We start from the raw sequence: 26,932 nt of genomic DNA, 5'->3' as shown, positions 1-26,932 counted from the left end.
CTCTCCATCCTCAACTTTTATGTAAGCCTTTGTCTATCTTTCCCATGCCTTACTTTATGTGGCTAGCCTTCTTCTCCTTGGGCTAGGTTGAAGACCCTTTCCTATGTGAAGTCTTTGCTGACCTCTACACACTCTAAGACATTGTTGGTGCCCACCAAGTGCCGTCCTAAAACCCTTTGCATGTTTTCTGTTGAAGGTTACATGAGATCCCTATTCAGGGTACTTCTCACGTTGCACTGAAACTTTCCTGCTGACTTGACAGTCTTTGACTCCCAAATGACACATTGAGTATCTGTATGGGTCACACTTTTTCTGGTGGTAAGCTTCTCTGGGAGAACACCTCCTCCTCCCATCCCACTCATTCTTGAAATATGTTCCAGATGAGGGCTGCTATTTTGATTACACCCTGCCTCCCCGGCTGCAGTGACTGATCTGGTAGTGAGCACCGGCTGATTCTGGACCAATCAAAGTGTCTCACTCCCATGCCACACTGGCCCGTAGGAGACCACAGGATGCAAGATAGGCCAATTAGAGGCTTTCCCCTGGATTTTTCAAACACAAACTGGGAGGAGGGCACTTCTTTTTATCTTTAATAATGCAATAAGGATGTGAGGCTAGAGGTGCTAGAAGCCATGAGCTATTCCAGAACAATGGAGCAGACTGAAAGACAAGAGCAAAGACAACATTTAGAAGAAGAAAATCTTGACCATGAGTGATTTCTCTTTTTCCTAGTCCAGCTGTACCCCTGGCAGTTAGATGGTTTGATTAAATGACCCTGTTATGGGCTGAACTGTGCCCTCATCTTACAAATTCATATGTTGAAGCCTGAACCCCCAAAATCTCAGAATGTGACTGTAGTTGGAGATAGGGCTCTTAAAGTGGTGATTCAATTGAAATGAGACTCTTGTGATGGTCCCTAATCCAATATGACTGGTGTCCTTAACAGAAGAAGAAGTTTGGGCACAGAAAAGAGACACCAGGAATGTACATACACAGAGAAAAGGCTGTGTGAGGACATTGTGAGGAGGTAGCCCTCTGTAAACCAAAAAGAGAGGCCTCAGGAGAAACCAATTTTGCCAACATCTTAATTTTGGCCTTCCAGCCTCGAGAACCACAAGAAAATAAATTTCTGTTGCTTAAGCCACCTAGTCTATGGTACTTTGTTATGGCAGCTCTAGCAAATTAATACATATCCTAACATTTCCCTTTTTGGTTCAAATTAGTTCATGTTCAGTCTCTAAGTCTTGCAATTAAAGGGCACGAGTGCAGGATGTCAAATGCCTTCAGCAAATATAATGGTGACTTGTATCCCAAATGGCTTCTTACCCTGTCCCAAGGCCCAATGCCTGTGACAACAGAAAGACAGACAGGTTCACTGTAGACTCATTTAGGGACACAGGTCAAGCTTAAGACAGGCAAGTTTAAAACCCTGCCTCAGTTTGATGAATTAGTGGCTGCCCAACATTTTTTGTTTGCTAAACACCTTTTCCCCTTAAAAGAATCCAGAAACCTAGGACTAAGTAATGACAAAACTGACTTTTAGTCTGTGCGTAGTAAGGGCCTGATAACTGATTGCAAAAACCACTTGGCATTTCCTTCTAGATGGTGTTTACCTCAGACAGACTCTCCTGCAAGATAAACCCAGTGAAGGTGGTCACTTGGCTAAGACCAGGTGATTTGGTTTAAACAGGACGGGATGACACTTCCAGGGGCATTTTTCCAACTTCCAAATCAGCTGCTTGCTTACTATCAGGAATGGGTACTTCCTAGCTCTATTAGGAATGACTTCAGCTGATAGAGAGCAATATCAGATCTAAGTCTAAGGTGGACACTCATTCATTTACCAGATAGCTACTGCATGCCTACTGTCTGTCAGAAAACAAAGTAGCATGGTCACCTTAACTTCCGACAGAAAATCTATCATTGAGCTAAGATTCAAAGTCTTAACCCTCTGCAAGTATCGGCCATGTGGACTACTTCTTAAACCTTAAATAACTTCGTGGTCTATTTACATTTGATTTTGTTTGTTGATTGTTTTTCCTTCTCTGCAGTCTTTTTCTATCACTGCCCACTCATTCATTCTATTGCAGGGATTCTCCCCTTCCTAAAACATAGTTTCTGCATGTATTTTCCTGCCTCTCTGTCCCTCAATAACACTGGTGCTTGTTTAAAAGTAAACTAAAGGTATTTACTTAGGAAAGTTTAAAAACGCAGGTTAAAGACAAACAATAAGAAATTTACTAAGTTATGAAAAGTCCTTTGTAACTGATATTTCAGGTTTTCAGAGGCACGAAAACAAGGAACTGTTTTTCTTTTAGCTCTCTTTGCTATTTTGCAAATGCATCTTTCTCCATGAGTCTCATATAGCCCCCACTGAATATTTTACTCATGGCTTTGATAACCGTTCGCCTTTCACCTCCTCTTACTCTCTAGATTCTACCACCTGAGGACCGACCCCATGGTTAATAATCAGTTTCCTTTGTGGTGAATATGCTTCTAACAAAGGACTTAACTGCCTTCACTTATTACTTGCTCCATACAGCAAAAGACTGTAGAAGAAATTTTATTTACACAGCATTTTATTTAAACAAATTTATATAAATAACATTGCTATATGCCTTTCACAAAAATGCAGACAAGAGTATTAAAAGGGTTTACTACATTGATTTTTCCATGTTATTTATGCAGGCAAGAAAAATTCTTCAGTTTAGCTAAAGGATTTTAAAACGAATAATATGAATTATCTGACTATGAATCTAAGTGACTTTGTCCTAATGATGGGAAAATTGAGGCAAATTTATTTGTCTATGGATCACAATCCACTGAGGTCAGCGCTTTGAGAGGACTCACTTATACATTTTTTGTTTTTCAGATGCCCTGACTTTTGTTATCTTCTTAAAGATTTTACCTTGTTTTAATCCAGCATATTTCAAAGTATTACCAAAATAACAACTAAAAATTAATTCTGAATTCAGATGTGTTTGGAAAATGCTGAGTAAAATCAATGAAGCTTTTTTTTTTTTTAAAGCAGCAAGACTTCTCAGAGATTTAGTGCATGTGGACCAAGAGGACCTGCAAGGGGTGCTACTGAAAGCTACACTCACAAATCGATTTGACCTTCCATACTGCTTTCGTGCGGGGCATCTTTTTAGGATGAGCAGTCCGAGGAACTAGTGTTCCTCCAGTTAGTGGTTTGATGTCTCTAGCCACTTCAAAGACTTGCAGAAGAAAGAGAGCTTAAAGACATAAAATTTAAAAAGTTTGTTTTTCTTTTAAAAGTCCAAGCTATTACTCGACTTGACCTCAGAATTACTATTTACTGCCTCAGAGGAAATGCTATTTCTGGTGGGTACCACATGGCATATATTTTTAGGAAGGTCTGTATTCAAGCTCTGAAGTCAAACAGTCACATATTTCACAATATAAAGGGAATCAAGTTACCAAAAATACTAGCATGCATATAGATGCCGATTGGACAGTAACAAGCATTTTATCTTCTTCATCAACTTGAGGTGAGAGAGAAACAAAATGTGGCCTATGCATACAATAGAATATTATTCAGCCTTGAAAAGGAAGTAAATTCTGATATATGCTACAATATGGATGAAATTTAAAGATGTTTTGCTAAGCCAAATAAGCTAGAACAAAAGAACAAATATTTTGTGATTCTACTTATATAAGGTACTTAGAATCAAATTTATAGAGACATAAATAATGGTGGTTGCCATGGGCTAAGGAAGGGGTGAGGAGTTATTATCTAATGATTAAAGAGTTTCACTTCGGGGGGATGAAGTTCTGGACGTAGATGGGCAATGGCTGTACAACAATGTGAATGTGCTTAATGCCCATGAACTGTACACTTAAAGATCGTTAAAATGGTAAATTTTATGTTATTTATGTTTTACTACAATAAAACAAGTAACTGGAGGTGACCACCTTATGGAAATCCCACAGATCAGAAGGGTGAAGAGAAAGGAGACTCTGAATAACTGGTATTTGAAGAACATTCAAGGCAAATCTCTCCCTGGATATCTTTTTGAAAATATTCTTCTGTGATATAGGAGGTAAAGCAACACAGCAGCTTTGAAATGGAAAGCTAAGAGAAAAATAATTTTAACATCCTAAGTTTTTAAGCATGTTAACTTTTGAATATATAGAAGGACCAACCATATGTAAGCACAGGGCCAGAAAATATTACAGACAGAAATATAAAACACAAAATGCTGTTATCCCAATCCTCAGGTAATTTATAAATCTTACAAGAAAACATGTCTATGAGTAACTTGGTGATAACAAAGACTGTGCTAAATGTGCATGAGTTATAAATACAGATCTCTAGGGATGTGGGGGAGGAAGATATGAAATCTGATTGAGAACCCTTTCCCTCTTCTTCTCACCTATGCTATTTCTTCCTTCTTTTAGGCCCAGATCAAGACCCCCTGCCTAAAAGAAAGCCATTCCTCACTGTTCTAACCCACTGTGGCTACTATAATCACACTCATAACTATGTGGAGACTTGTTCTTCTTTTTGGTAGATGTTGTAACTTGGCATATATATATTACATATTATAGAATATGTAATATATGTACATTATATATACATATGTATATATGATGATGTATATATACATGTAATACATATCTATGTAATATATGTATATTATATATAATAGATATATAACTTGGCTTATATATAAAAACATATATAAATATTTATATTTATATAGTTTAATGTGTTCTCCATATTTGGTTAGAGAAATCTGTTGCTTTGGGGATGATAAGGATTATTAAAATAGAAGTGCAAGGAAAGGAGGAAAATTGGGTTTTGAATCTACAGAGACATAAAGGTTATGAAAGTCAAGCTTGGTCAAGAGAGAAGGGCTTTTTGAAATTCCAAAATCTCCTCTTTCCAGATGAGAAGCCAAGCCTGGCAACTCAATGTTAGACTATTACCCTAACTTAGAGTGTGGAGAATAGACAAGAAGGGAAGTTCTCACCAGATAGGAAGAGGAGAGTGCTTTTCCAGATAAGGAGGAGGAGGATTTTGTGTGGATGTCCCCAGGATAAGAATATAGTTTGATTCTCTGAGAATCAAAGGCCCTAACCTTCTTGGGCCTTGGCCAAAGGTGGGAAATAAGTTGACCGAAACATCGGACTAGACAAAATGAGTTCTTCCAGAACACCCAGGACTGCTGCTCGGCCCCCCTATGTCCAAGATGGCAGGAAGTCTCAAATAGGTGGTTCTCAGAGCTCTGAGTACACATGATGTGTGCATTGCATGCAGCGGTACTGTGAGTTCCCATATACCGCAGAAAGTGGGGTGGGGGACAGAGGAGTGCTGAGATTCTGTAACACTGGGTTAGATGAGAAGAATAAAAAATACACGGCCTCTCCAACACCGATATATTTCAATGACTATGGGCTTCAGCTGTGAGCACCAACATAACACCCCCAGAAAACAGATGAGATTAGCCATAGCAGGCAGATGCCAGCACAAAGTATTCAGGAATCAGACTAGACCAGCCTCACTCTGTTGGCCAGCAGGGAGGACAGGCCACAGGCACCCCCTTGTCCCAGAAGACATAGCTTTCCCTGCACACATCGACGTCTTGGGAAGGGACACAGAGGTGCTTCTTGTGAAAGGGAAAATAGCCCTGATTGAGCATTTATACTTGAAATTCACTAAATATTTGCCCAAATTAGACCAAACCACACTTAAAAAACTATTTTAAAATAAAGAAGATTGAATTGGCCTTGATTGGAATACTTAAATCTACCCCACTACTATTGGTAGAAGTGAGGATAGAAGTTATAGGGAAAAAAAGTTTATTCTTTTATTTTCTGACCCATTAACTCAAGAGTGTGTGAATGTTCACTCCTTTTTACATGTTTGACACAACAAGCAGGCTAGAGTTTCCTGGAGATCTGTGGAATGTTTCATGTTATGTACTCAATAGGTGTCCCTAAATGTACACTGTATGAAGAAACAAAAAGAAGAAAACATGGATTTCGTTTCTTCCCTGCCTCTCATTCCACCAAAGCCAAAATAAATTACAAAACAGAGAGACCAAAAAAAAATACCATTATAGAAATCACAGAGAGAATTCTGTAAAAAGAACCGGTACTGGGAAAGTCATAGGGCTTAGTCCTTAGAATATTAATAATCGTAACCACAGACAGTCTTCCTGCAAAGCTTTCTGTCAATAAGCTGCGGCAAATATCTATCTAGACCAGTGAAGTCCCACAGAAGTAATAAGTGAAGTTTTCAATCTTCAAAAATGTTTGAGCATCTCTCTCCTATGGAAGAAAACCCCTAGAACTTCTCATAAATGGATATTTCCCTTGGGGGACTAATATCCTCTCCAGAGTCAGACTTGACTTCTTATGATGTGATGAAGCAACATTCACAAGGAAGTCATGATTTTTTTTCCCTTTCCTATTTTCTTAAAATTCATTTAACCTTAAGAAGTCATTGAACATCCATTTCTTTTTTTTTCTGACTAGGGCTTTCAATAAGGGAAAAACTAGGGCAAATTTTAGACAAAGCAAAAGACAATCTTAAAAGTTGACTAGGCCACAGAAATCTAAATGACAAACTTAACAGGGCTGACTTTTCCTTGGTGTGTAAGACAGGCGTGTAAGGCTATTAACAATAGAACTCAGCACAAAGCCCTGTGGAAAGCAGGTGAATATTGATTCTTAATCTTAAACTCATGAATAATGTATAAGGCAATTTTAGTTTAAAGATACAGGCATTTTTTTCCTGGCACAATGGTTTTTAGAAACTCACTGTATTCAGTAACCCATAAAGAGAGTCTTCTCATCTTTTAAGAAGCCTTTCAAATTTCATCTCATTCCTACAGCCTTCCCTGACCATCCAGTCCTCACCAATCACTCCCTTCTCTAAACTCCAAGAGTACTTACTGCCTGTAGCACTCACTGGATATAAGCTATTAGGTATCTTTTTTTTCTTTTATTTCTTTTCTTTTTTTTTTTTTTTTTTTTTAAAGACATGGTCCGATAGATACTAAAACCCTGCAGGGTAGGGGTCACATTACCTTTCTCTTATTATTCCCAGTACCTAGTCTGGAGCCTGATCCACAGACCGTAAGTGTTCAATAAATGTTTGTTGTTAATGATGACATGTTATAGACACATCTGAAACATAATCTGGATAAACATAATACTGGAAAAGTGCAAATCATCATTTAACAAACATGCAAGCCAAGAAATCAATATGAGAGAGCTGTCTGAGTACCAAGTGAAAGACAAAGTAATACCCTCTTCCCTGCCCCAACATCTAACATGGTGATGGATTATGCTACATAAAATTATCGATAAAGACCAATGTAGTCACAATGATTTCTAAGCAGTAACAAGAAATATTAGATACAAAATGTAACATTACAACAAAGGCAGCAGAACTGAGAGGCCATTGTGGAATAATAGATACATTCATCTGATGAAGAACCTCTTTGCAAATAAGCAACTTCAAGCATAATGAAAGCACAGGGCTTTCCTTTCCTCCCTCTCTATCTCCCCAACCCAGAGACCGAGATTCTGATTTCCCTCAAGATACACAGAATGCACGTCACTTGCCCCTTAAACAGAGGAGGAGGAAGGCAAACTTGAGCATTCAACTGTTGCCAAAACAAACCCAAGCCTTTCAAATGAGTTAAGTTCTCATGATATGAGTCGGGTTGAGTAAATTTATACAATTCTCATTTACATACACACAAAGAGTAAAACAATCTACTTATTTCTTGTCTGAATTCCTATCTTCTTCAATAAGATTTGGCTTATTAACGTAGCAGCAGAAGTTTGGGCCAAATCTATCTAGCAATGAACCTCATCTCACCTATCTCTGTCACTCTTGCATACCCTTTTCCTACCTATACCCTTCCTTTTATCCTGGCAGGTGGGGAATGCTTAGGCAGAAAGCTCGGCCATTTCTATTGATCATATAGGTAACATCTTCAGCACTATTATTGGTCTGACGACTGTGAAACAATAATAAAAGTGGTCAGTCCAAACGTCCCTGGGCCCTGGCAGAGATCTGGGGCAGATGATGGGAAAGCGAGAATCATGGGTTGATACTTTCCCCCAAATTGTATATGCCTTACTGTGACATAAGCAGCCTGAACAGGATCATTAATTTGACTGGTCACTTCATTGGAACATTGATAAGGATTTGACTGGTTTTTAATAGCATGTACTAGTTATGTGGACTAATTAACCAATCAATAAGATTTAAACCAGTACATTTACTCCTCACCTCATCCTCTTCCATGTTACTCAGTCACCTTTAACGTTTTGAATGGGATAAAGAACTTACAAAACTAATTAGCTATATAGACAGAGCCATAATGGCCTGCATTTTCTCCACTATTATTAATGCTTTTGGTATATAAAATCTACTAGTTAAAAAAATGAAAATTGAATACCATGGGTTAATCTAGGTATAGTAGTAACAATTCCCTATAACCAGCTTGGCTTCCTTCATAGCTAAAGGATGACCAGTACCATCTCATCTCTTTGAAACAATTGACTGGTGGTGTCTTTTTGTGGGTCAATATTCTCATTGAAAGAAAGAATATATTTTCTCCTGAAAAAAATATATAAAATATTCCTAAATTTAGTGAATTCAGAAAGCCATATAATTACAGCATACAGAGTTTTCCTTCTAGATCCTGAAGACATGGACTTATAAATGATGCAGGGCAACTCACGGTCATTCAGGTCCTGTTGGCACAATGAATGGAGGTGCTCCAAGCCTTTTCCTTGTCTGTAGGTAGAGGTGCAAATACTTCAATGAGATATGTTCCTGTTCAGAAACACCCAGGATGAAAACTGGAAAGGGTCTGCCAAGAAATACAGAGGAGCTCTTTCAGCATGGTCGTTTTTTAGGATGATGGAGGCAGCTTACAAAATGGTGAGTTGGAGCAATGGCTGGAGCCAGCCTAAGGAGGCACTATGGAGCAGAAAGTTGGATCCCCCACTAGATGGCGCCAGGACACATCTATGGCATACGTGGGTACTGTTAACCATGGCACAACAGAGGGATCGGATCAGTTTTCACAATTCTGTATAGGCCAGGTCCTAATACAGTACCAACGGACTAAAGTGAGTGTATGTGGGTGTTTTATACGTCTTTAAGTTTGACCCTACATTGAAGGGTACACCTGGGGTGGCATACGTGTGTGTTCTTTGGAGTATGATTACCTATGCGGTTGTGAGTGTATCTCATGTATCACATGTGCACACACATACAATATAATAATACACATGTGCGTTAGATTATATAGATAAGGGATCAATATAGGTGTAGCTAAAGATTAGGGGCCATTATTACAATAAATAAGGATCACGTTGGAGGAGGGGGATTAGCTTCTCTTGCGCGTACTGTATGCCAGACCTTTTCATGTGCTTTCTCATGTAACCTTCACAACAGCTGCAAGAGGTGCCTACTATTGCCCCATTTTCACCAAAGGAAATTTGATGGACTTTGTATAGGTTAAGGAACTTGTCCAAGGTCACATAGCTAAGGAATTACAGGGCTTGGATTAAAATCCAGTTCTGCTAAGCTTCAAAACCATAATACAGTTATACCTCATACCACATTGACTTGCTACAGTTTCTTACAATGTGCAAATTAACTCCAGGGAATATGGTTTGTGGTATGTTTGCACAAATATACTCACATGTGCACTATACGAAATGAAAATACCTTCTATGCAAAAGTTTGATCTATGTTGGACTACAAATATACATAAAAAGTTGAATAAATATGGCATTCCACTTTTCCCTCTTCACCCCAGGATAATTATTAAATAACCCTATCACAGAAAAATATATAAGAATTAATTCCAATATATGATTCAATTAAAATGGGAGTCATTTAAAAGAATATTAACTAATTTTAAAGTAGATATATCAAATCCACATGTATACCTAAATGAAGCCATTCACTATTTACCTAAAAATACATTAGCATTAAGGTAACAATACAAGTTCCATTTATGTTGTAGGAAAAGCCTTTTCTATTGAGATGGTTGGCTCTCATCTTAACTCAGCCCACTCAGGTATGGTTTTTGTCATTGGAGATTTTGTAGCCTTTGGGCATCAGCCTTTTAATTTTCTTTTTGTACAGAAAATGTATTGTTCTGTACATTGTGTTTTGACAGACTAAAGAATGTAGTGTACATTGAGTGTTTAGCACAGTGTCTGGCAAAGAGTAAGTGCTGAATAAAAGTCAACACTAGTGATTACAATGGCTATAAAGAAGGAGAAAAAAGCAGAGGAGGGAGAGAGCAGAAAGAAGAGAAGGAGAGTAAGAAGGAGGAAAGAGAAGGCAAGAAGGTAAGAAGAAAGAAGAGAAGAGGGTAGAATGGTGGAGAGATCAACATGACAATTAATTTGAATTAATTTGTAATTTTTTTCTTCTCCCTAAAAGTTAAAGAAGTCATCTGAAACAATGTGGAATTTGAAATACCTGCCTTGCACACTGCAGATCATTCTATTTTTCACCTTAAATTTTGTGCAGTTTTCTGTTTGGTCTAAGATTGGTTAGTTTTCCTATAGGCTAAAGAATAATGTGCTAAGAACTGAGCCCCCGGCTGAGACTGTGGGATTTAAAAGGGGGAGAAAGGTAAACAGCATTCCATCAAGTTGTACTTTGGGCACTGGGAAAATATGTTGGTTGTGCTGTCAAGAAATTGACTTTTTGGCTGCATGATAAAGGTGAACTCTGGCACTCCAAAACTGGATGGAAATCACAATAGCTCCTTCTAGAAAAGTCAAAGCAAAATAGAGACATTTTCTCTGGTGCTTCAGATCCGTAAGAACATTATCTGAAAAGAGAGATCACAACTCGGGAAAAGGGGAAAATAGGAAAACATTGCCTGTTGCCTTTAGTAATAAAATTTCACTTAGCAAATTTCCTAAGATTTTTGTCATTCTGGGCCTCAGTCTTTGTTTCTTTCATTTGTGTTAGAGAATATTTGAAGTTGTACTGAGAAAAAAATAGTAGTAGTGTTAATAAAGCCTAACATGAATGAATCACAGAATGCACAACAACACATTCCATATTCTATATCACGTTATGCTCAATACAACCCTATACATTGGTACCATATTACAGATGAGAAAACCAGGCTCAGAAATTTGAATGGTTTGGTTAAAGTTACACTAGCAGATGGCAGAGCAAAAACTCAAAACCAAGGGCAAGCTGAGGCCAATACCAATCTTGTGGTCCATGATGCTGTACTTAGATGACATTCAAAATGCCTGTGGCAGTGCCTGGCACACAGTAGGCATATGACAATACTCAGCTTTACTTTCTTTCAAAACAGCATTACGCTCTTGCCTAGGTTAGAGTGCAGTGGAGCAATCATCGCTCACTGCAGCCTCGAACTCCTGGGTTCAAGCAATCCTCCTGCCTCAGCCTACTGAATAGCTGGAACTACAGGTGCACACCCCCATGCCCATCTAAGTTTTAAATATTCATAGAGGCAGGGTCTCACTATGCTGTCCAGGCTGCTCTCAAACCCTTGGCTTCAGGCAGTCCTCCCAAAGTGCTGGGATTATAGGAATGAGCCAGCATGCCAGGCCACCTTTGTTTTATTTAAAGGAGTACTGCTTTTGGAGGGTTATCTCTTTCAGTAAAGTTCCATTTCAATCTGTACACAGTGTTGGAGAATATCAGGTGCAGAAAGTGATACCAACTTCAATCTATGGGTATGAAATACTCATTCTATCCTGGATGTTTCTGTCTTGCAGACCCTAGATCTTGGCATAAAAGCCTAGCATCCTTCCCTGGGCTCGAGCGACCATGATCTGGAGACAACAGTAGGGGTTGCCTACATGGATATTTGAGGAGGTAAGACATGCATTGGTGAGAAGGAACACTTCTGATGCTATCGGGCTTTCTCCATCCCATTTGTGGGCATTCATACTGACATAATCACATGGTATGCATAAAGTTGTAAAACTAGAGGAAAATTCTAAAGCTTGACCTTGTTTCCAGTAGATAATTTCCTGAGATATTAGAGGACTATATCAAGTGGAATCAGGAGCACTGGGCATGGTTGTGACCAATTAATTATTGCCTCAATAAGAGAGCATGTCCATCAGCTATACTTGCTGTTGAATAAATAGCTGTCTCGATTCTTTCCCTGCAGTCTCTTTTTATCTTCTTAATCTCGAAAAATAGGTTAGCAAGATGAATGAAGAAATCAAGGTCCACAGCAGTCCAAGGTTACACATTAGATTCTAACTAACTTGAAACCTAGGTTTCTGATTTCCCAGTCAAGAATAATCTTTAAGACATTTCTACAAATTCTAAAAGATTCTTTACTTGTTAAAAAAAAAAAGAAAAAGGAAGGGGTGATTCTAGTTACTTTAAAATGTTCAGAAAATGCAGCATTCTCTATCATCCTTTCAGAAATTAAAAATGTATATTTTACATAATAAAGTCTCATAAATCCTGCTGTAAATTTTTAAAACCTGATTTTACCTGTAATTTCTATACATTTTGACCACAGTTGTTGTTGTTGTTGTTGTTGTTGTTGTTTTGTTTTGAGACGGAGTCTCACTCTGTTGCCCAGGCTGGAGAGGAGGGGTGTGATCTCGGCTCACTGCAAGCTCCGCCTCCCGGGTTCATGCCATTCTGCTGCCTCAGCCTCCCGAGTAGCTAGGACTACAGGCGCCTGCCACCACCTGATTTTTTTTTTTTTTTTTTTGTATTTTTAATAGAGATGGGGTTTCACCGTGTTGGCCAGTGTGGTCTCGATCTACTGACCTCATGATCCGCCCGCCTCAGCCTCCCAAAGTGCTGGGATTACAGACGTGAGCCACCGTGCTCGGCCACAGTTGTTGTTGTTTTTTTTTTTTTTAAATGCCTGTTAATTTCCAGAGGCACCAGCATTCCTCAAAATCCATTTTTGATCATACATCTCAAAATGATTCAAAGCCAGTTCTGACAATGTTCCTTATTAATAATGATAGTAGAAATAATAATAATTTCTTTTTACTGGTATTTCTATGTTCATGCTACCTCATTCCATAATACTACCATATCTTTGCAACAGGTCTCCCAAACCCCTAACTTTTTCTATCTGATTGATTCTCCATGCTCCTACTAGATTTGTCTTCCCTAAGTACACTCACTCTGCCCTGTTTCTACTCTGTCATCCATCATGACACCCCACTCTTCTCAGTATAAAACCCAGCTTCTCAGTCTGCCATTTCAGTCTCTTTCTTTCTCTAGGTTCTCACTCCACTGCTCTGTAAGGCGGGCTCTTCAGTTTAACTAACGAGGCTTACTCTGATCCCTAGCCAGGGCACACACATTCCTGAGTCCCCTGCCTTTAACGTCTCTCCTTCTCCCTTCTTTCCACATGTGCAGGTGTGTTTCTCAACATATTGCACGTTCCTATGAAAGCAGAGGTGGACCCAGAGATGTTGTAACCACTATAGTTGGCCACCTGCGTTAACTCATAAGCTTGTCGTTAGCTCTTATGTCTCTCAGAAATGAACGTCCGCAAGCAGGGTCACTGTTGATGACTCAGCAACTCATATGGTTTTATTTCTTAACTTTATCACGACAAAGCTTTATTATTATAGAAGTTAGGCATACTTCAAAGAATTGTATTTGAGAAAAAAATATATATTTTAGTTCTGTATTTTAAACAATTTTATTGCAATTCTAGATCTCCAAGCCCAAATTTTTGTGTTGGTTATAGAAGTAGCTTTAGGTGCCCATGGGCTTGTGAGAAGTGCATATCTGTTCTCTAGGTGGTTACAGCTTTGTCATATAGAGGTAACTGCAGAAGCCTCAATGGATGTGAAGGCAGAGAGGCTGAGAGGACAATTCATAGTGAAAAGGTTTGGCTTTGGGTCCCAGTTTTATGGCTGACTCCTGAGTGATTTTGAGAAAATCCCCTTAACTTCCTGAGTAGCAGTTCCATCAGCTGTAAAATAGGAAGTCTAATATTTAAACTCATAGGGTTACTGTGGGAATTAACTTTGGTAATTGCTGTAAAAGCCTTGTCAATTATAAGGGGCTCTGCAAATGTTAGTTATTATTAAGAAAACATTCTGGGCATCTCTAGCTTTTTTTTAAAAAAAATGCAATACTAGAAGTATTTCTAACCACCCTAAACTAATTTCTATCGTGAAACGTGATTCCCCTATGTCTGTGTGTTTGCTCTATGACCCATCTCTAACTCTCTTCACATTACATTCGGCAGAGTCAACTTCTTAACAAAAAATTATTCTCTTTATTGTTTGAAGGCTGATGGTCAAGCTGTTGTTAGCAACCCAGTTAAGTATTATGACTGAAATTTCCATTTTAGATTCTGATTCCAACCTTAGATTTTCAACTGCTCACATGCCACACACCCATATGCACACACATTATTAGGTTTATTTTTCCCCTCCCCTTTTCTTCACTTTCCTTCCCCTCTTCCATCCCCTACGCTTTCTCTTTCTCTTTTTTCTTTCTCTCTTTCTCTCTCTTTTCCTCCCCCCTCCCTTTCCTTCCTTCCTTCTTTTCCCCTCCCTCTCCCTTTTCCTTCCTTTTCTCCCTTTCTTCCCCCTTTTTCCCTTCCTTCCTTCTCTCCCTCCTACCTTTCTCTTCTTTCCTTCATGTCTCCATCTCTCCCTTTCCTCCAACAAGAATCTATAAACATTCAAATAAGAAAATGCCACATGAATTTTTGACTAAAGTGTGATATTTTACTTCTACCCTGCCCTTGTCTACTTAAAATGCTTGCAAAGCCTCACCATTTTTTCTAGAGCACACAGATATGCTCTAGTAGTTAAAAAATGTACCTAAATGCATGTTGTTTACTATTAGGTACCAGAGTAAATGATATAGTTAATACATTATCTACTATGCAGAAAACTTGGATACTGATGAACATTCCCAGGCATTCCATGTCCTACTGGGGCAATACACATTCTCTGATAGGATGAGAATTATTGCCTCACTGGACCAGAATACTCTTGGAGTCCATATAAAGGCCCTTATTTCCACAATGGATTGAAAGACAACAGGTTCTGATTTTTGGGATATTTAGTTTGTAGACTGCTGATCTGTTAATGGATCAAGTCAGCACCCTGTAGGTATCCTTAGCTCTTGGTGTATGTAACCCCCTGTCCAGAGGCCTGAGTTGCAGAACTCCCCAAACTAGTACCTGCCTACCAGCCTTGTATGGCACTCAACTGCTCAGATTATTTTGTCTTTAAAATGTAGTTTCCTTAGAACATACACAGGGAAAGTAATATACCCTAGGAAATAATAAGAGATTTGCAATAGATGCTCAATTATAAAGGAGAAAGGCATACAAAAATATAATCATAGAATTTTCAAACTGGATGAAATGTAATAAAGTTATTTGCAAGTTATTGCACAGTAAGGCTAACCTCGCTGAATACCTTTAGGCAGTACTCGTTTTTAGGCCAAGTATCTCTGTGTGTGTGTGTGTGTACGTGTGTGTGTATGTGTATGTGTGTGTACTGAAATTTCTGGAGGGTCACTGTTAGGGCTTCTTTAATCAAATACCCTCATGTCACAAATGAAAAAGGAACCAGGAGAGGTGGGAAAGGTGAGCCAAGAATCTGATCTTTCAGATTTTCAGGATTACAGCCTTTCCACTACACCAACCTCAGGAAAGTATGTTCTCCAGTGACTGAGCTACAGGGGCTACATGGAACACTACGTGAAAAGGCCAAAAACTTGATTTCATCACCATCTGGTCTACTAGAACAATTATCTTGTAAATTTCAGTGTAAAGATCAACTCTGTTTTCAGTGACCACTATCTCACATAAACAGATGAAACAACACACTTTGCTCCTCTATTTTCATGGCCTATCCATCTCCACCGGCCTCTTCAAATCATCTTTTGGATTCACAGTACATTGAGAGCCTTATGCTAAATGCAGAGCTCTAGGCTGGAACTGGTGGACTGAATCATTACTCTCCTCTTTTCTTTGGGATCCCCCTCCCTCTTTCCATGCTGCTGTCCTCCTGCACTAGCATGGAAGGGGAGAGCAACAGATTCCTTTGTTGAAATCACAGGGATTCACATAGGGTAAATGCTCACTCTATATTTGTTGAATAAAAGAATGAATGGATTCCTGGATAGGTCCAGCCAGGGACCATTCTGTAAGGCCTTGTACTCTGAAGGATCCACAGAATCTTCAAGTTTATAATATGTGAAAAACAGAAAAGATTTCTAAAACCCACTAGGTTGGTTTGCTAGTGACAGGATTTTAGCTTCAATGCAAGCAGTGAAGTCTTGAGTGGTGTGTCTTTGAATTGCATCTACCCGATCTATTTTTCCATCAAGGGCTCTTAAGCACCACAACAACAATGACCTTTTCCCTACTACTGTGTTTAACCCCCAATGGTCCTCATTATACGGCTCGCTTCAACAAATGCTGATGTCCAGCTTTGTCTGCTCCTTCTATCCCCAGATAATTTAGAGTCGACTCTAATAAAATGTTTTGCAACTTACAGCATGAAGTCATTAAAGATCCTCTGTCAGGTAACTGATAAAATAACAGTCCAGCCCATCCTTCCCACACTGGCTTAAAGTTCATGCAACCTGTACTTGTATAAATTATACCTAAACCACCTTTGGCCTGCTGATTTGAGAATATCATCCATCATCCCTCAGTGGATGAATGGTGATACTAATCCCTGGCCCTGTATGCTGCCTGAAAGCTGGTGCTGCTAGGGGAAGGTCTGGGCCCCCATGCCATTAGGAGGCCCGCATGCTGGGGAAAAGAGTCTCAACACAGAGAGGTCCCTATGTCCAGCACCAAGTGGAAGCTCCAAGTTCTCACCTAGTTCCATACCATGGCCAGGCACATAATTGTGCCTTAATACTTACATTTCCTATGGAGGTGTTCTGAGCAAAGCTGAGGGAGCTGATACCCAAGGCAGGTATTTCCTCACTCAGCCAACTCTCCTCCTCCCTCTTTCTTCATACAAACTTCTCTCTTCATGCAACATTAGCATAGGTGGAGTGTGAGGCAGAGGAAAGTTTCTGGCAAGCAATGAGGTAAGTACCTTCTCTGGGAAAGTTTTTTTTTTTTTTTTTATCTCAGTGATAGGTTTAAAATTGGAAGCTGCTTTTAATTCGTGAAAATGCATTGGTTGAATTTGGCTCACTGATATAAAACCATGGCTTATATGTCCAATAAATCTTCCCTTGACATCAGCCAGTTAACCTGAATATAAGGCCATAAATTGTTAACTATCATTCTTTTATTGCTAATGCCAATGAGCACTTGGCTTTTTAGCCACAATGAATTTACAATACATGCATTACTCTTGAGAGTGTTATTTATAAGACAAAATAAGAATACATAGTCTCCATCATTGACTTTAAACCCACACTTATACTGAGTCTACATGCACTGATAAGCAATGTTCTCAGAGGTCATCAAATACCAACTCTCCATCAGACCAGTCAAAAGTTTCCACAGTCCACAGGGATCGCACAAGCCAGCTCTACAATCACACACGGTGATGTTGGAACAGACAATCAAGTAGACCCGAAGGTTTCCATTTAACGGCCATTCAGTACACCTAAGTGGCTGGAGTAGATGTTTGAGCTTTCTCCCATGTGAACAGATAGAGCTGTAAATATGTCCTCTTGTTCTCCTGACGGGAGCCTCAAGAGGTTGATTTTCATCTGTCCCAAATAAACTTGTTGGAACTCTTGGGGGATTCCTCTTAGATTTTTTTATTACCACTCTGGAATAATGTGCAAGTAATTATGCAACAGCCTACCCTTTGTTTGAATGAACATTATTAAATATACCACAATTATCACATATCATATATTCTATGTGCATACAAGCCCCTTAGGATAATGCATATTCCCAACCCCTACAGAAAAAAATGTGAATTATTAATATTCACTCTTCAAGCTCCGTAAAACTGACTCTCAGATCGTGGTACTAAACACTCACTGCTCTGGCACCTACACAGGCTGGTTGGAGAATTCATGCACTATAGTGTTTGACACACTCATTCTGTCAGGTGAAATACTGTAGGCAAGACTGCATAATTCATTAGGCTGATACAGCAAGGCTGAATAATTAGATCATCTCTTTGTACAAGGCTACATTTTATGATGATATTTTTAACACTATAATCTAAATTGGTGTTGGATTAGGGTATGGGGGTGCTGTTGAAAGTAAACTAATTAGAAATTGAAAGATGCCATATGTGAAATCACAGCTGTATTTCTCCATGCCACCAAAAGTAGGATCCCATCTTCAAAAGGCTTGCAAATTATCTATACTATTGGCTAACAAGCATGTCAGATATTTTAATAATAGGAAAATGATGATGTACATACACACACACAGTGTTGTATTTTTATTTCGGTAGGTGGGAAGGGAGATGAAAAGAAACTTAGAAACCGATAATTTCTCTCATGAGCAGGTGGAAAAGAAGGATTTCCAAACGTTAGCAAGAAGAAACAACATTAAAGAAAGAGCTAGGCCTTACCCCACAGTTCCGCCTGAACCTTGAAGTGATGGTTTTGAGAAGAGTAGTCAATATCACCTAGGAGATCACACTGGGTAAGAATGTGGAGTCCTTCTCAGGTGATCAAGGCAAAGAAGACAGCCGACTTTGAAGGCACATAGGTGTCCAGGGGCTTGTTTTCCTGGCTCACTCTCCTGGCTCACTCAGTCCTTCCCCACTCCTTAGTCCCTCAGCACTAACGTGGGTCTGTCATTTCAGGAGATTTGCTTTTGAAGTGCCTCTCCTCGGACTACTCTCATTAGCATCCCGTTCTCTTTCAATGGCCAAGTGATATGTGAGGACCTGATTATTTTGCCATTGGAGAATTTGCTTCTTAAGTAGCCAGACAACCCAACTCAGCGGCCCCAGCCAGAACCACTGGAACGGTGATTCTTCCTGTGACCACTCTGGTTCTGCTTGGTCTCCCCTCTGCCATATGGTTTCCTCCTTTTTTTTCTTTACACATTACTGAGAGGTTAAATTTTTACAAATCTTATTGTCTTTGAGCTGATGGAAGATAAGGAGGACTTGTACACCTGGCCTTCTCCAGGTGGAAAACTCCATTTGAGAAACTAATTGGCTATGTTAAATGTTGGTACATGAGCATACTTTATGATGAAACTCAGGTGGGAGAGGCAGGTTCAAAGAAGAGGTCAAGAGAACCACTTCCCATAGAATCTGATCCCCTTCTCTTTGAGAGAGAACCAGGCTGTAGTCCAGTTACACCACTATAGTAATTTCCAAACTGAAGTAACTTAAAACTAGAAGACTAGAACCCCAGACTTAATCATCCTCATTTCATTCTCCTCCTCTTTGCTATGATTATCACAAAACGAAACAAAAATAATATTTTACTCCCCAATGTTATGTTTGATAACATTGAGCAGAACGACTTGCATATATTTGCCTCAAACATTGGGTAAAAACTCAGACTCACTTGTATTCACTGTTTCCTTTGAACATCACATAATTGGTCCCTAGATTTCTCTGAAATCTTAGATTTTATTCTGAAAACCTTACATTAGCTATGACTTTATCCTAAGGATCAACTCCCTTTAAGCCTCAATATCTATTCCTTGCCTTTGGAAATGAAACTGTTTTTCCAAAGGCTCAGCATGCTGTCCTTTGGGCTTTTGCTATATCTATAGCAACCACTCTGTTGGGGAACCTTACAAATAAAACCAGACTTTGGAGTCTGGGCACACATAAAAGATAGGTTGCAACAATAAACATTTAAGTTTCTTTGTTTAAACCAGCAACAATAGCTTATTAATACCTGCTGAAGTATTGCCCTTAGTTCTGATTAAAGAAAAATAATTTTGTTTCTTGAAATTTAGTATATCTCCAAGTTAATTTGCTCTTGCATTTAAGAAATGTTCACTTGATAATTCATTATTAGACCCATTCTTAGAAGAGATGGGTGGTCTGAATTGCCAATTAAGGGTGAAATTCTGTGTTATCTCAGCTGAATTTCTTAATTTTCTTCAGGAGTTACATTTCTTCATTTTGAAAGTCTCCCCTTTCAAATAAATCTAATGATTTTATAAGGTCATTCACCCTATTCCTGTGAAACTGACAGGAGAAAAAGTACCAAATCTTTCATAAGTGAGAGTGAGTAAAGAAAATAATGTCCAGTCATGTTAGATTCAATGCCATATTTCCTTTTAGTCAATAATCTACTCACTAAAACAAACAAAGACTCCTTGGAGAAATGGCTGATTCTAAGGCTGAAACAGGAAATATACAAAATGAGCATAGAGAACCTTTCAATCCCAGAAAGCAAGAAGTATTTAATCACACACACACACACACACACACACTACACACATACATACATGGAGGTGTTAGATATGTCAAAGGAACACAAGAGCCAAGAGCTTCCAATGACCAAAGTTGAAACAACTTGAAAAATAAAGAAGTGAAGTAAAATAAATATCCATGAGTCCATACCGATATAAATGAGTTATTAAATAGATAAATGGGTAGAATAGTCAAATCTCCCATTCAGAACAATTCCAAATAATTGATGTGGATACTCAGCCCTCAAGAAGATAGAACATAACTCCCCACTCTTTAAGTGGGCTGGCTAAAATGACTACTTTCCAAAGAGTGCATACAGCATGCTCAGGGGAAAGGGGAGATTTCCTGACTAACACTACCTCAGACATCACAAATGATATCACCTTTTTGTATCCTTGATAGGAAATGATGAGAATAGCACTTTTTCTCTGTGGTCTTCCTTTAAAAAACCATAACACCACTCTACTCAGAATTAAAACATGAGACAAATTTACAGAATACCTCACCCATAATCCTAAAAACTGTTACGGTCATGGTCATCAAAAAATGGAAAGTCTGAGAAACTGTCATAGCCAAGAGAAGCCTAAAGAGACATAATGACTAAATGTAATGTGGTACCCTGGATAGGATCCTAGAAGAGAAGAGGTAAACACTAATAAAAGTATAATAATGAATCAAGATTTGTTTATTGATTATAATAAATATACCATACTGATAAAAGTTGTTAATAGAGGCAAGCAGGCATTGGGTATTTTGGAGGTCTAACTTTGCAATATTTCTATAAGTATAAAACTATTCTTTAAAAGTTTCTTTTTAAAAAAAGAAATCTACATATTGCATCCCAGGCAAAGCCTAAGTGCATGAAAACAATGGCATTCAACAGGTGTTTATTGAATGTGAAAAACTAAAATTTGTTCCTTAGTCTCTGTGAGTTTACCCAAAGTAACTTTCTACCCAAGGGTTCTTTAATACTAAAAATGACTTTGAGGGTAGAAATGGCATATGAAAAAAACAAATTCTATGGTAGAAAAATCAGAAATAATTTCTCAGCAATGAAAATATTGACATTACTTATACACACAGCAGAACTTTAAAATGGTGATGCTCATAAGAGACTAAACTTTATTTCAAAATACTTTCACATTTATTTGCCATTTCAAATTACTGCACTAATGTATTGATAAAGGTAAGGAAGGCATTAGTTTCTCCATTTTGAACATCAAAATCCTGGGGCAAAGAGACTCATGTTGAATGTATTTAAGGCAGAGAAGTGTTTCCTAATCTACATATTGACCACAATTAGGTTGTGGCTTAGGCAAGCTTATTCCATTTTCTTGGGTTTAGTTTTCCTGTCTGAAAAACGAAGGGTACTTCCACAGCAGAGAAAAGTTCATGTATAATCTTTCCCCCAACTCCAAACACAAAGAATGTAATACATTTATTTATATTTTAAAATAAAAAACTGCACGAAGTATTAAGAAAAAAATTCAAGGATCCCCAAAGAAAGAAAACCTATAGATATAGGCAGAGGTTAAAGCCCCATGGCCACCAGGGAGTTGAGACTAGCTCCATATGTATGGTCCAGCTAGGGTTCTTTAATGGGGATATGTGGACTCCTGATCGGACACAGACTGCACTTCACAGAGATTGGAACATCCCCTCTTGCCTGCCCAAGGTGGCTTCTAGGAACATGGTTTTTCCAAAACCTACTGCCAAAGTCAAGATTCTCACATGATCGTGGTTCCCAGGCTATTGAAGGTATGAGCATTGAGAATGGAATTGCCACCTTTTTATGAAAGGAAGACTTCAGCTTAGCTGCTAATATAAGGAGTCCTATGAATCCAGACAACCCATACAACCAAGAGGTTTGAGGTGACATCAAATGGCTTTACAGGAAGGAGCACAAGAGAAAACTTCCTAAGAGAAGAGTGAAACCAAAGAAATGAGAGGTTCCTATTCAAGGAAATAGAAATAATGGGAAAATCTGAAAATAAGTTTTAAAATGAGTATCTGTGAAATCCTCAAAGAAATTATAGATGGAAGTGAGAAACTCAACAATGAGTTAAATACTAGGCTGACACAATTAATGAAATTGTAAAATGAAAAAAGAACTGAACAAATTTTCCAGGATGAAGACAGAAAACATGATTTAAAAAAAATGACAGAGAAATTAACAGACTTGGAGGCTGAGAAGCAACAATATCTGTCTGATAAGAATTTTAGAAGAAAAAAATACAAATAATTGGGAAGAGGGTCTAAAAGAGTTAGGTAATAACTAAAATTTTCTAAAATTAAAGACACAGGAGCCTTCAGATTAGAAAAGCCTAATGTGTACACACAGCAGAAGGAATAAAAATAAACCCACATATGGACATTGCAATGAAGACACCATAAAATCCATCAATCTGGTTGGCAGCTTATTTTTCACTAATAAAAGAACCTGGTGAAAGTGTTATGTGAAAATAATTGTGAATGTATAATTTTATGCCTTCAAGAGTAATTGTAAAATGGTAAGACATCTTCAGACATTTAAGGACTAAGTTTAATACTATCAGATTCTCACTGCAAAAACTACTGTAGGGTATAATTCATCAGAAAAAATTAAATCCAGAAGAAGTGGGAATCAAGAAAATTGGTGCACAAAGAAACTAGGTATTGTGATGATAAAAATACATAGGTGTTTACTGTAAATAATTGAGAAAATATGCTTCTCTTTATCTTTAAAACATGTTGGAATTACAATTCCAGACAACAGTAGCAAGAAAATTAGAGTGAGGAGATCTAAGGGATATGAGGTATACTAAGGTCTTCCTTGGTGCATTTTGTTAAAAAAATTAGTAACAGCACAGATATGTTAAAAATTTGAGGGCAACCACTAAAACAATAGAAATAAAATGCCTAACTTACAAAGCTGTGTAAGAGAGAAAAGAGCAAAGAGAGGAAATTATACTGTATCAATTCAAAAGAGACTGTTAATGAGGGAAATAGAGAAGTAAAGCAAAAGTATATAGAGAACACAAAATAACATGGTAGAAATAAATCCAAATGTACATGGGGGAAGCAAGCTACAGAATAAGACTTTGTATATAGCATCGATGCCTATTATGCAAAATTTTAAAATCCTTAATAATTATAATAGGAACACATCATAAATGTGACCAACTAGATGCAATGTTTTAAATAGACTGAAAGAATCAAACTCATCAAACTCATGATAGTGGTTGAGTATTGGGTGAGGGGTCCAGGTAAACTTTATCTATGTGTTCATGATTTGTGTATTAAAAAAGAGACAATATAGCAAAATATTCATGATTATTAATTAGGGGTGAAAGAAGCCCAGGTATTATTAAACTTTTCCTTGCATACCTTATGTTTTTCTATTTTTAACAAAATATATTTGGACAGGATTATCATTCTATGTCTAATAATTCATTAACTCCAAAGCACCCAGGTAGCTATAGGCAGAACCAGGGCTAAGACCAATGCTTCCTAATTTCACATCCATGTTTTTTCTCTTATTATACCAATATTCTAGATATTCTGGTTATAATCAGTATAACTTATATTCAGGATAACTTGGTCTGTATGTTATCTACTCCCTAGGGGCCTTTAGAAATGACTTTTGAAAGTTCCTACGAGCTTTAGATTTTCATTTTTCCTTCTACTCTCAATGCCTAGATTGGCACCAATTTACCCTGGAGAGGTTCTTGTGAGCCTTAATTGAGAACCACAAAAGATAGCAAGATCTTTAAGTGAGTAGCTCTGAATAATTTCCCCAAACAGATCACTGCGGAATTTCATTTTCAACATGAATGGTCACACTTCAAGCAATGAATGAGACGCATTGTTCAGGGGGAAATGACGCACTCAATTCTGTAGTGCTGCTCAAGAGTCCTGGTTTGACTTAGGAGTGCGTCAGCATTTTCATTATAAACCCATCAGTGGGATGTAAGTTCCCAGAGGCTGCCTCTGAAATCAATTTGCTGAGTCACTGCTGAGAAGGGTTGGTGGGATAGAACCCACAAGACTGTCACAAACACAAATTCAACTTCTTCCAGGATGTCTTCTCTGACTATACTGCTCTTCACCTTCACCTGTTTTTGACCCCGAATATCTTCCTTGTTTATAGAGCTGGATAGCTTGAATATTATTGACTGATACTGATAGGCTCTCACTTCTCTTACTGGGTCACACTTTTTCCTCATCAGTTGGACAAAATCTGAACATAGAAGGTCTTTTATGTATCATGCAGCTCTCTATAGAGCCAAGTTAATGTTGCATACCACAGGTTTTTGAGATAGAACAGGTGAATGAGAAAGGTAACCAGTAATCTAAAATATAATTATGTATTTAGATACAAAGAAAATTCTCTCTTCATGGTCCTAGACTAACTCCCAGCTTAAGAGACTTAGTTGGAATGCACAATAGGCTGTTTTTTTCTGGAGTGTGGACATGATGGAAGATAAATGTGTGTGGCACATCCAAATCTATGTCTAATGTCTTTTGACACTGAAGAGCCGCTACCTTTTTCCTCCGGATTTCTGAAGCCAGCACATCCTTCGTAGTGATCCCAACATTAGTCCAAGTCTACCTTAGAGATGTCTTCCCCATTGGCTAATTCGTTTTCTGTGCTGCTAAACTCCTTTTGTAGTTACAGTATGCTGCATGCAGCTTAGCTCTTGTTTATATGTTGTCTTGGTCTGTGAGTTATTTCAAGGATATTAGTTCTATTCGCCAAGTAAATGGAAAAGCCCTTTGAGAACAGCCCCTAGCTCCAGGTATGAAACACAGTTTGAGAAGTTTGCTGACAACCTGCAAGGCACTAGAGAATTAACTCTGTATTGATTGATTGCTGTTGAGGGAAGACACAAAATTCACTCTTCTGGCTTGGGCTTCCTTCAAAGTCACAGTTGGTGGGTTGAGTTGGGGCACAGAGCACCTTCAGATGGTCTATAATCATGCTTCCCCACTCTCCTACAAAGGCAGCTGTCTGTTTTAAGAAATATTCCTCAATATCACCTTGAGGTTGGCAAGCTCAAAGCAGATTTTGACTTAGAGAAAGAACCTCAGCAACAGCTGTAAACCTTACCTTACTGCATAATTTCTTTGGCCACTTCAGAGAATCACAGCTTCGCAGAGGGAAAGTCCTTTAGCTGAGCAGCTTCAAAATTCTTCAGCTGTGATCCACAATAAGAAACACCTTTTACATTGTGACCTAGTACATACATGCGATTGAATGAGAGAGAAAGAGAATGAGAATGAAAAAAAGTCTCAGCAAACTCGTAACTAATGTGGTGCACTTGATATTGTTAAATCAACTTTAGCATAAAACTGCCCCCTTACCTCTTTGAACTTCAGTGTAAATATTTCTGTGTACATACTGAATTATAACCTAAGTGGAAGTGTAAACAAACTGTAAACTATCTTTGTGCCAATCATTGAGTTTTGGACAATGAAAGGGGGCCAATTGTTCAAACAGTGTCCAAATAAGGCAAAAGCCGAACTGTAACCAATCTGGCTGTTTCTGTACTTCACTTCCATCTTCTGTATGTCAGTCTCCTTTTTCTGTCCATAAATCTTCTTCCACCACGTGGCTGTGCTGGAGTATCCCTGAGCCTACTCTGGCTTGGGAGGCTGCCCGATTCACGAATTTTTCTTTGCTCAATTAAACTCTGTTTGATTTGTCTCATATTTTTCTTTTAAAAATATTATATTACTAGATCCTGTCCTGCCCTATCCTATCCCATCTCATCCTATCCTATCCAATCCTACGCTATTCTATTATATTTTAAGAGATGTTGAATATGAGAAGCTACTTTGAATTCACGACTCTGATATAGAAGTTACTTTCCCCGCATGCCAGATAAGAATTTCTTGCTCCCAGCCAGGCGCAGTGGCTCACACCTGCAATCCCAGCACTATGGGAGGCCAAGGCGGGCAGTTCACGAGGTCAGGAGTTCAAGACCAGCCTGGCCAACATAAAGAAACCCCATCTCTACTAAAAATACAAAAATTAGCTGGGCATGGTAGCATGTGCCTGTAGTCCCAGCTACTCTGGAGGCTGAGGCAGAAGAATCGCTTGAACCTGGGAGGTGGAGGTTGTGGTGAGCCAAGATCGCACCACTGCACTCCAGCCTGGGCAACAGAGCAAGACTTAGTCTCAAAGAAAAAAAAAATTCTTATTCCCCAATCATTTGGTATCTGCTTCAACCTTTTTAGCAATCTTCTAACTGGTAAGAAATTCTTTAGCACATTTGATAAGGAACTGTTTCTCTGTAACTTCTGTACCCAGATGTTTTTTGGAGCATCTTTTGTCGTCCTGGATTGTGGCTAAGGCCAAAGTCTACACTCCTTATGAAACACTGTGGCCAGACACTCCCTTCAGGGCTTTCTGAGAGGACACAGATACTTCGTCCCTCATTATGCTACAGGCTCCTCTCTTTCTCCAGATCTAAATAGGAAGAGGCCAGAGTCAATAGTTTCAGTAAGGAGAGGACTGCAAGAAAAACTGAGACGTTTGCCTTTATGGAAGTGCGGTGAAAGAAGTTTCTTCTTTCTCTGCCCATTCACGCCTGAAGCCAGG

General features: G+C 38.5%; 1 protein-coding gene across 4 annotated transcripts in view, besides 1 other annotated feature; it reads right to left on the bottom strand.

The window, feature by feature from the left end:
- The window catches only part of SLC14A2 (solute carrier family 14 member 2), a 515,726-nt gene that overhangs the window by 461,768 nt on the left and 27,026 nt on the right, over positions 1–26,932 (bottom strand). For 2 of the 4 annotated variants that reach the window (XM_024451270.2, XM_017026016.3), the window contains exons 1-2: positions 18,532–18,858; positions 8,730–8,861 (exon numbers count right to left, since the gene is read on the bottom strand). The gene's annotated coding sequence lies outside the window, so the exon portion shown is untranslated. Of the gene's footprint in view, positions 1–8,729; positions 8,927–18,531; positions 18,859–25,438; positions 25,565–26,932 lie in introns of those variants that run through there. The other 2 variants (NM_001371319.1, NM_001242692.2) reach the window with 2 other exon arrangements.
- Positions 8,862–8,911: an enhancer, noted in NCBI's record as "active region_13261". NCBI's record gives its function as "activates an Ori minimal core promoter by ATAC-STARR-seq in GM12878 lymphoblastoid cells {active_cell/tissue: GM12878}" and the evidence as "EXISTENCE:reporter gene assay evidence [ECO:0000049][PMID:35858748]".

Source organism: Homo sapiens, chromosome 18, assembly GCF_000001405.40.
Source record: "Homo sapiens chromosome 18, GRCh38.p14 Primary Assembly".
Classification (NCBI taxonomy): Eukaryota; Metazoa; Chordata; class Mammalia; order Primates; family Hominidae; genus Homo; species Homo sapiens.
Note: the sequence above shows the minus strand (reverse complement) of the source record. Positions and strands in the feature narration are given on the sequence as shown.